This window comes from Homo sapiens, chromosome 7 (genome assembly GCF_000001405.40).
Source record: "Homo sapiens chromosome 7, GRCh38.p14 Primary Assembly".
Taxonomy (NCBI): Eukaryota; Metazoa; Chordata; class Mammalia; order Primates; family Hominidae; genus Homo; species Homo sapiens.
Window position 1 is genome coordinate 37,965,853 of NC_000007.14, and position 11,563 is coordinate 37,977,415.

General features: G+C 39.7%; 1 annotated feature.

The window, feature by feature from the left end:
- Nucleotides 9,455-9,749: a silencer, noted in NCBI's record as "tiled region #4879; HepG2 Repressive non-DNase unmatched - State 24:Quies, and K562 Repressive DNase matched - State 7:EnhWF". NCBI's record gives its function as "represses a minimal TATA promoter and a strong SV40 promoter by Sharpr-MPRA in HepG2 and K562 cells {active_cell/tissue: HepG2 | K562}" and the evidence as "EXISTENCE:reporter gene assay evidence [ECO:0000049][PMID:27701403]".

Sequence of the window (11,563 nt, forward strand, 5' to 3'; positions counted from 1 at the left end):
TTTCCAGTTATAGTAATAATAATGGTTAACTTGTTTATAGCACTTACTAATCACAAGGCACTGTCCTAAGTATTTGACAAGTATTAATTCATTTAATTTATAACGGTCCTATTTTATTATTTATTTTATAGTTGAGAGCTCTGAAGCACAGAGAGATTAAGTAGCATGTCCAACGTCAGCCAGGAAGTAATACAGCTGGGATTTATGCTGGTCAGTCTCTAACCACTATGCCGAGCTGTGGGCTTAAAGCCATGCTGCTGAACTGCAATGGAATACCAGGAAGCCACAGGCTCCAAATCAAAGGACCCCTGTGAAATTCTGGTCCAATCTATAGATGTCTTTGCACCCAATTTTTCATCCAGGTATAATCAAGGATCCTAATAATTACTTCACAGACTTCATAAAGTAAAATGATAATATGTATGCACAAACAACTACAACAGTCCCCTGAGCACGTGTACTCGGCACATGTGAGTTTCTGTCCTTATGAGAAGAAATCTTCACAACAAAGGAGGTGTGCATTCTCTGGCCCCATACATCTACGTGTTCTACCCATCCTTAGAGGCATTGTGGCTGAAGGTGAGAACATCCCTTGTGTCCTGGGGCATGCTGTGTTTAGAAGAGCTGTCACTCACACGCATACACATTTTGACTGAGTCAAAATTGCACCTAAAAGAGACAAGAAGGAAGCTCTCAACTAAACTGAATTTTCCAGGATTTGTCTATAGCAGAGAGACAGGGTGATATTTTAAATATTACCATCCCCAGGCCTCAGTGAACCAAACTCAAAAACTTTTCAAACTTTTCAAAAGCTGCAAAACAAAACAAAACAAAAAACTATGGGGCATGAAGATGCAGATGCATGCATACTTCCAGAGTAAGTCTCTGCAAGCCCATGACAACTCACAAAGGAGATAAGCCTTGGTGAGTCCAAGCTAAGATGGAGTGTGGGGCTTCAAGGCCAGCCACTGGCCAACAACTCACCTTTGAATGCCCAGTGCCCTGGGCTCTGCCCGCTGCCCTGCCCCAATGCATTGCCTACATCCTAGTAGACTTGGAGGCTTGCAGACTTTGCCTGAAGATGGTGGCAGGAAAACCAATGTGGAATAGGACCAACCTGTTGAAACTTCTATATGATCCAGAGACACCATGCACAGGGCATTGCTGCCACACTTGCCACTGGGGAGTGGTTCTAAGGAGAGCAGGTGAAATGAAAAGCATGACTACTGTGTCTGACAAAGGCAGGGCTCCAGCAGGGCTTGCCTGTGTCATCGTTCTAATATGAAGGCTTATGTTTCCTGGGGCACTGTTCTGAGAGTACTGTGTGAAATGACCCCTTTATTCTTCACAATGGCCCTTATTATCCTGTATTATGAGACAGTTGAGACTTAGAGAGATTCAATGACTTGCCTGATTCCCACAGCCAGTAGCCCTCTCTCCAGGATGGTGCAAATCTTTAAAGGCATCGCCCTGCTCTCTGAAGGAAATACAATCTCCATCATAGCTGCAGGCAAGTCCCTGCAGAAACCAGCCCCTCAGTACCTCTCTACTGAAATTACTATTTTTTTTTTGCCCCATTCTCATTCTGCATTTAGTCTACGGTGAATTGTGTTCATGTCTTCAAGTGTATTATATTCTGTCACCTCAGGACTTTTACATGTGTTTTCTCTGCCTGGAACCATTCTTTCCTATCTCCCTGTCCAGGACAATCACTATTCAGACTTCAGGGTAAACTTAGATCCAGTGTTTTCCCCAACAAGAAATTGGCAGTTACTCATATAATCTGCTTTGTAGTACATTGTTCTTTGCTTATCATACATTTTACTTTATTGTATTGACTGATGGAGCTGTTGGTCTCCCCACTAGACACAAGGCTCTATGTGGCCAGACTTTGTCCACAGAGCATGGAGCCTTTCTCCACATGGGTGATCAATAAATATCATTGCATGAACAAAAACTTGAATTTCTTTTGCTTTGCTGTGTCATTTCCCCCACTATCCCATCTCTGACTCTGAAAATCCTAATTTAAAGTTCTTGCTGATAATTGGCCTCATCAGTTTGACTTATCAGTTTGACTTAAGACTTTGTTGTCTCCATGCTTGCCTAGCAAGAACCAAAATTCTTATATACCAAAATCCTTAGAGAGTTCCAAAGAAGTTATCATAATGCCAAAAAATAATGCGGAGCAGTCAAAAAGAAGGGTCTTTTTTTCCTTCTTAATTTAAAAAAACTCTTCTCCGATTTCCCTTGAAGCCACTGACACACACATAACCCTGGTCTCACTGTAACCTCACAATCCAGGAAGCCACATATCATGTGCTTTGGCTCTTACAGGTCACTCATGCTCAGAAGCAGGGCAAGAATGAAAAAAACACTAGTTTCAGGGGAAAAGAAAACTCAGGCCCTGTTCCCAGCACGGTAACTCTCTAGATGTGCTGATTTCTGCATGATGTTCAGTCTCTCTGGGTCTCTATTTCCCTTTATTTCATAGAGTAGCTTTGAGAATTTAGTGAAGTAATATATGCCAGATGCCTAGGCAAGGGCCAAACATGTAACAAATAGTTGCTGATGCCAGTTTTCTTCTTTCCTTTGCCTTTATCTTGGGAGATTTTGGTTTAGGAATTTTATAGCATATCTGATACTATAAAATGATTAATCTGGTCATCAGTGGATCTGTAAACACCTGGAAATTGCATGCAAAGTTGGGTATGTCTTCAAGTAACTTTATTTCTACAGAAAGTGTCTCTGTTAGCTTCCTGGGTCTGCTTTAACAAAGTACCACAAACTGAGTGGCTTAAAAAACATAAACATATTGCCACACAGTTCTGGGGGCTAGAAGTCTGAAATCAAGATATGGGCAGGGATGGTTCCTTCTGAGAGCTGTGAGGAAGAATCTATTCAAGGCTTCTCTCCTAGCTTCTGGTAGTGCCAAGCATCCTTGGCTTGTCGATGGTTGTCTCCTTGCATCCAAATTTGGTCTCTGTGTCCAAATTTCCTCCTTATATAAGGACGTCAGTTATTCTGGATTAGGTCCCACCCAAACGACCACATTTAACTTAATGATCTGCAGAGATTCTATTTCCAAATAAGGTCACATTAATAGGCACTGGGGTTTGAACTCCAATGTTTCTTTTGAGGGGAAACAATTCAACTCATAAAAGAATACAGTTTTCATCAGATTCTTAACGGGGCTTATGGCCCTTCCAAAGACTAAGAACTAGTAACTGTAAAATCTACTTTATGGCTTATCCAATACCAACCTAACCAGCAAGCTTGTAGGCTTGAGATGGACCATGGTACGTCTTGAGTGCCAAATCATGGAGAAACACCAAGGCAATTGTGATGGGGTTGTTTATGCACGTGCTAATGGGAAAAAAGTACAGGAAGTATCTTTCTACATCAAACTTTATACCAGTTGGTAACCATTGCTGTTTGGTTAAAATCTTGCTGTGTTAAGAATTTCTCAAGTCTCATTCTAATGAAGTTTACAATCCAGTGGCTGAGACATGTTTACCAAAAAACACATATGCATGCATAATTATAAATTGGGAATAGTACTAAGATGGAAAGAAGCAAGATTCTATAAAATTAAAGAATATGACTTGACCTGGATCGGCCAGGGAAGGCTTTACTGAGGAAATGATGCTTCATCTGAGTCTGGAAAAATGAATTAAAGTGCATCTAAAGGGATGAGTATTCCAGGCAGAGGAACAGCACGTACAAAGCCTCTGCGATAGGAGGGAACATGGCATATTGGGGAAACTATAAGAAAGCCAGTGGTATGGGAACAGAGACTTGGAAGTGGGAGAATGAGAACAATGTGAGATGAGGTTGAAGGACACTTGGGCATTTTGAGAAATGCAGGAACTTATCCTAAGAGAAATGGGACACCATTGAAAGGCTTTTCCATCTTCCTCAACCTGCATGTCAATCTATACTCTTAGCCTGCTAGCCCTCTGCCATCTTGACATTTTTAGCCTTGATTCTTCAGAGATACCACTTTATTCTGGATATACTCCCACTACTCTGGCTATGCTTTTTCAATCTCATTTTTCTCTGTCTGCTCCTTAAATATTGCTTTCCACTCCCTCCCTGAGTGATCTCATCCTGTTGCATGGTTTCAGCTACCATCCTCTTGTAGATACCTTTACAAAACCTTTTTCCTGGGTTGTAGTTGCCTTTTTTCATCTGCTTAGAAAATAAATAATGCACAATTTTCGTCAATTTTTGTCACATGAATATTTATGAATATTTATATGGTCTGCTTAAGCCCTGTTTTGTAACTCTATGGATAACTGCTTTTGAGAGGATGTTCCCAAACTGGTATCATTTTAGCTATTAAGATAAATTTGCTACAGGGCGGAAGAGAATAAGTCACCTCTGAGGAGGTGTGAACAGTGACTGGTGGGGTGCTGGCCGCAAGGCCTCCCTGCTCATCACTGGAAACAGTTGACAGATAGTCTGCCCTTGTGTGCTCTCCTGATATATAAAACACATGCTTTGAGTTTGCTGAGGTTTCCACTCATCTTTCCCAGGGCACCCTGACTCAGGGCTCCAATCACCCTCTGCTGACATCTGTGTGGGCACAAAGCATCCCCCCAGCTGAGACGGCATGAAAGGAAACCAACACATTAATGCACTTGAAGGTCACTGTGGCAATGTCTGAAAATCAGACTGCAGTAAAAGTCTTGGTGCATCTGATTCTCAGGCAGAAATACTTCTCAGGTATCTACTGTGGAAGATAAAGAGGAAGGGTAGAGAAAGAAAGAGAGAAAGGGAAGAAAAGAGGCAGGGAGAAAAAGATGCAAATGAATATTTGCTAAACACTACATGATTTACTTTCACAGGCGTAGTTTATTTAATCCTTACAGACAGCCTGGCAAAGTAGGTATTTTTTTAAAATTTTAATTTGTATAGGCTCAGATCCATGAAGCAGGTCTCCTGAACTAAAGACAAACAAACAAACAAAAAACTAGTAATTTTTTCAACAAGTTTGGAATCAATCATTCTTGCTTTCCTTTAAATTTGATCTTCTTTCAACTATACCACAAAGCCTTGGTCACTGATTTGGGGAATTAACCAGAACTTCTGTGTCATTCTGGGTTCTGTCACTCTTGTGAGGACTCAGCTACCATTGAGTTCTCTGTGCTTTTTCTTTGCACAACTTGTACTGAACCTGTACGTTTAAGTTGAACCAACACAGCCAGAAACCCAAACCAAATGGCTGACAGCAAATACATATAAGCCAGGGACCCATCAGTTCAACTGAGACAATCTCCTCTGTCCTATCCCTTAAATTTCTCCCATCTTATTACAATTTTTTTTCCTTCTAGTCTAGGTTTCTCTTCCTGATTTGGCTCAGCTTATACTCTTGGATGTGGGAACTTATTTTTACTGGCTCTAACTCAATACTAATTAAGGATTTTCCTCCTGGGACACCAAAGGGTGGTCTTCCTGGACTTATTTCAGGTCCTTGAATGCTTTATGACTGAAAGCAAACTCCTCATACTTGTCTACCTGGCTGGTACTCAGATGCTCCAACGCTGAAGCCCTGTAGGACAGGGGAGATTTTAGAGAGGACATGGAGAGGAGAATCCAATCAGAGAATGGCCTTTGGGCACTCCAGCAATGGCTCTCATTAGCGGATTGTACTTATCCCCCTAGCAGGAGTGTTATATTGAGGAATTTGAAGGAAATTTTGTCTAGCAAGAACTGTCTGCTTTAGTCATCATTAACGGACTACATTGAGCAAGTGGTCATTCAACCAAATTCTCATACATAGGGCGAATTCCTTTCTGTTCAACTCAGTTAGTCATTCTATCCTTGGGGACTCCAAAAGGTTTTGTGCAAATCTCCATTAGGAATATACAGTAATCACTCCCCAGCAGTGAGTTTCTTTGTTGGGTAATTCCAATAAATGTGTCTCTACTTCTGGATTTCTTTTCCTTACTGCCCAGAATTTTGCCTCCATTACCCATGCACTTTAAATTCTTGGGGAGGTTTATGTCCTCATAATAAGCTCTAGCCGTGACTTCCAGGTACCGGTGAATCATTCCATGCCCCATGCTTGCTGCTATTTTTTGTTATTCACATCTTGGCACTGATTGAACATAGATCCAACCCCTTTCTATTATTTTTACAAAGAAACAAATTACTCAAGGTCTTTACTGCAATTTTAGGCAGATAGAAGGAGCTTACAGGCAGTACAGAATGCACCCTAAGATTGGACATAAAAATTTCTGAAAATTCTCATGGAAATTGTAGGCACGTGACTTGGTCATCTCTTTAAAAAAAAAATCTTCTTTCTTTTCTCCTCTCTCATTCCCATATTCCTGTGTTTTTCTAACTGAGAGCAGTTGAGCTCTTTCTTTAATGTCCTGTTGTTTTCTAACCAATGCTCTCAGTGACTCAGCTCCTAATCTCAAGTGGTTAATTAAGGTATTTTGCTAATTAAGTCAGTTGTTTCCATGAGAGTTGACTACTGGTATGATTTTTTTTAACAGAACATAAACATAAAAGCATTTATTGTTAATAGGGTAGTAATACACCAAAATGGATGTAAACACATATCTTTCCTTTAATCCAACTCTGCGGGTATTTTTTTTTTAAGAAATATACTCCAGTCTGGGCATTCACTGTCTCCTTGGCAGAAGCATATTTATAAGTCATCCCACCCCTCCCTCCAGGCCATGTGAGAAGAAACACCTGGCAAACAGACTCTGAGCTGAGCATCTCACATCTTCTGGAGCTTCAATGATGAACAGGTAATTCCCCACCTGTCATCAACATCATGCTATATCCTAAAAATTAGGCAGAGATATGTATCAATTTATTTGCCTAATAAGCAAACCAAGTTAACCAGTTATTAAAATAATTTTTTTCTCACCCTTCACACCAAAAGTCAAACCACTCTGTGTCTCTGGAAACTCAGTGAACCCAGTCAGAGGTAGTCATGAACTTGAAGTTTGAAAATAGGAAAAACAGAGGACATTCTATTTTGGTTATTGCAGGTAATAAAAATAGGCAGTTTAAAAGGCCTGCATGTTAGTTCAAAACACTCATCTGATTTATGCCTTTAAGAACTTAATTTTTTCCCTTGACTATTTTGAGAAATCTTACCTTTATGATTGATGAGGGGCTGCTGTATCTTTCTGAATTATGATTCTTTCCAAGTCTTCCCTGCTCTGTTCTCCAAGCTTCTTTAAGTGCTAGTAAATGTAGATTAAATGAATGAATGGTAGATAAACAAAAGAATTTCAGAAAGAGAACAGAAGGAAAGAAGAAGAAGAGACAGACAGAGAGGAAAATAGAGGAGATATGGGAGAGAGAGAGAGAGAGAGAGAACTGATTGCTGTAATTCATTTATTTAAAACAACATTATCTAGAATAGTCAGTATCACCTAATAGAAATGTGTTATTTAAGGGGAACACTCAACCCATCAGCAATAAAAAAGCAGCTAGGACACTCCAACTGATATTCCATATCATAAACTAGGTCAATATAATTTATTAAGATTATGTGATTGATAAGGGAAGTAACTTTTCTGGTTAGATTTTGGGGAAATAGTGCAAAAAAAAAATACCAATGTTTACTGTCCATTTAAGCCCTGTGCTCATGTTTTCATTTTTGTGGGAAAAGGGAAAAATGATTCTGGATCATGCCATTCCTCATTTCTCTGACAACACTCTCTCAAAATTCTCACAGTACAATATTGTTTTAAATACTCAGTGATCAAACACTTTCATCTGAAACTAGAAAATATTTAAGAAGAAATAAGACAACTGGTGGTTTTATCCTCATCATTTTCTTTTCCTTCATCCCTTCCTTTCTTCAAAACCCTAGCAAACGTCATACGTACAAAAGAACCGCTGCCTAACCACAGGTTTTAATTCAAGGAAGGCAGAAATTTCCTCTCCCAAATAAATTTCAAAATAATGAAGCCAGTAATTCAATAAAGGAAAGAAAAATAATATTTTCATGGAGGAAAGTTGCCTACTAATGCAGTGCCACAGTTTTCAATCCAAGCTGCCCCCAAGCCTTGATAGTGGCCAAGAAGACTGATTTCCCAGAGAGTCTCCAGAACAGGAGTCATCAGGGACATTCTCTTTCTTTCCTGCTCCATGATTGTATCTGGTGTGGTCACCATGGAAAGACAGGCCTTCAGCTGAGCTGCCTTTGAACTGTGTGAGCTTAGCCCTGTTTGAGTTGAGACAGGCACTGAGAGGCATAACTATGGCTCTGCATTTAGTCCACATCAATCAAGGAATTGTCATGTCTCTTCCTGACTTTGTCTTAAGCACCTTGTAGGACAGATAAGAAGCAGTATTTAGAATGTCAGAGCACGACTAAGGGGTGTAGGTGGTCAAACCTCATAGGGGCATATGACTAAGCTTTCATTTCTGAACAATGGTGATAACAACAGTTTCAGAAAGCACCATTTCTGGAACTTTTACTTTTGACACTGATATTTTGCCAAGAATTTACATGCATCTTTATAGCCAATGATCCTCATTATAGAAGGATGATGATCACTATTACCACCATTATTCAGAAGAAGTAACTGAGCCTCAGGTAGGTTAATCAATGTACCCAGGTTCAGTAGGGCACACCCATGGAGAAGCTATAGTATGGAATTCAGCTGTCTGCTGAAAATACCCATGTTTTTAACTGCTATGCAAAATGATGTATTTATTATGGAGAAGTCATTTTAAAATCAGGTAGAAACATATAAATTTATGATCCATAAAACTTAAAAGTGTTTACCCATTGTTTGTTGAGTTGTGCTCTGGTGTAGAACCAAGGACACTGGCCTCCAAGGGTGGTCCTCCAGCTAAGTTGTCAATCCTATCTGTAGCCACTCCTCTACCCTCTGCTCCAACCACCCTCAACGGCTTATATTCCAACATACTTCGTGCCTTTGTTTAAGCTGCACCATCTGCCTTAAATGTCTTTCTCCTGTCTGAGCAGCTCAAATCCTGCTCATTCCTTACATTTTGGCTCAGTTGTCACGTTCACTTAGAAACTGGGAAATAAGAGAAAGTTGAAGAATGGTTCTTTAATTGAGTTGTGAACCTAGCATGTGTTTTGGTAAATTTGATACTGGTGTGAGTGAAGTGCTACCGCATTACAGAGCCTTTGTGTTTGCCAAGTGAGAGCAGACAGTTCCTACTTTCTGTATCCACTGTGATTCTCCAAGAACAGAAGAAGATTTCTCTCCAGAACAAGGAAAGCAGGGCTGAAAAGCTGCCATTCTGCCTGCAAAATCTGTAATTCCTGTATATTCGAGAGAAAATTTACGCATGAGGGAAGCTCCCATGTTCTTACATATAATATAAATGGGAAAAGTACTAAGAATGTCCAATGTCCAATAAATAAGTCTTTGATCCCTCATGAAATTTTTGATACCCTGCTCCTCTTTTTGCAGTGTGGGTTTATTAGAATTACCTTATCAATGGCATATCAGGTTTCTATTCCTTCCATTAATTTAAGGAAAACGAATGAGCTATATATGCATCTGTGGATAATACATTGTTGGTTATCACATTCGGCAGCTTTAGTGCAGTAGCAATCCCTCCAAATCCCAGTGACTTAACCAAAACCATATACTTGTCACTTGACTTTGTGCATTAGCAGCAGCTTCTTATCTAGGCAGCTCTGCCCAATATGTCTCATTGAAAGCTAAAAAGTGCTCATTCTGGGCACTAGGCTGAAGGAGCAGCGCTTATTTGAGATATATGGTCCTTGTGGCAGACAGAAAAGAGTAAGATAGCTAAAGAAAACAATCAATGGCTCTTAAAACTTCTGCTTGGTAGTGAAGTGTGCACACACACTCACTTTGCGTGGACCAAATCAAGTCACATGGCTGAGCCTGACGGCAATGGGCATGAATATTTATCCCTTCCATTGGAGGCACTGCCAATCAAATTGCAGAAGGTGGGGACATATAATCCTTTTAAAAGAAGGGCAAGTGGCCAGGCATGGTGGCTCATGCTTGTAATCCCAGCCCTTTGGGAGGCCAGAGTCGGTGGATTGTTTGAGGCCAGGAGTTTGAGGCCAGCCTAGGTAACACGAGGAAACCCTGTCTCTACAAAAAATTTAAAAAATAAAAAAATTAGCCAGGTGTGGTGGCACATACCTGTAGTCCCAATTACTCTGGAGGCCGAGGCGGGAGGACCGTTTGAGCCCTGGAGATTATGGCTGCAGTGAGCCAAGATCATGCCACTGCACTCCAGCCTGGTGACAGAGTGAGACCTCATCTCAAAAAAAAAACAAAGAAACAAAAGAAGAGCCAGGAAGTTGTTATTGGTTATACAGTTGGTTATGGCTACTTAGATATTACTTATAATGGGTGTGACCTCTATTGCGGATTGTCATAGCCCGAATTGTGTTCCACCCCAAAAAATTCATGTTTGGTATCCTAAACCTCAGTGCTTAAGAATGTGACTGTATTTCAAGATTGGGTCTTTAAAGAGATAAATAAGGTTAATGGAGTTCATTGGTGTGGGCTGTAATCCAATAAAACTGGGGTCCTTATAAGTAGATGAGAGTAGAACACAGACATGTACAGAGGAAAGACCACATGAAGATGCAAGGAAAAGATGACCATCTGCTAACCAAGAATAAAGGTCTCAAAACATCGGGCCTCAGAATTGTGAGAAAATAGATTTCTGTTGCTGAAGCCACCCAGACTGTGGTACTTTGTAATGGCAGCCCTAGCAAATAGACAGTGATGAATAAATTAGCAGATTTGATGACATTGATATTTCCATTATTTATTTTATTCAACACCTCTAATAATCTCTATTATTATATTAAACATTTACTCTGTATTAAGTATAGTATTAAATGTTCTATATACATTATCTGTTTTATTCACTCAAGACAATTCTATGATGTAAGTACTACTATTTTCCACATTTTGTATATGAGAAAATGTTATATCGATAGCTTGAAGGGTTTGAAGAACTTGTCTAAGTTGACACCCAGGTGGGGAACTGTGATCTGATCCTAGGTCATCTGAATCCAGAATCAGCTTTCTGCCACCATTATCAAGGGACATTGGATATTCTGTAGCATTTACTAAAATCAAGAAAGTTAAAAAAATATAAACATGAGAGATCTATGATGCCCATCTTGAGGAGTTCACAATCCAGTTGATAAAAGAAAAGAAGAAATAAGTATAATCCTAGAGAAGATAAGATAAATGTCATGTAAAACACTCTGTCCAGAATTGTTATTTATAACTTGGATGAGGAAATTGATGGCACAATAATAAATGTTGCTGAAGATGCAGCTGAAAGAGATGTTATTCCTTGGATAACACTCAAAATTTTAAAAAGGTGATACATAAAACTATCTTGTCAGGCTGGAACGATTGGCCAAATCTGGAGAAACGATGCATGATGAACAAATAAAATAAATTTCTAAGTACAAAAAAAACTGGATCAGAACAATAACAACAAAATAATGTAGTTTGTTGTGTGAACAAAGGTCATTTTAGTTTCATATTAGTCAGCTGTATCACTCATTGTGGACTAAGTCATTCAACAAACATTTATAGGG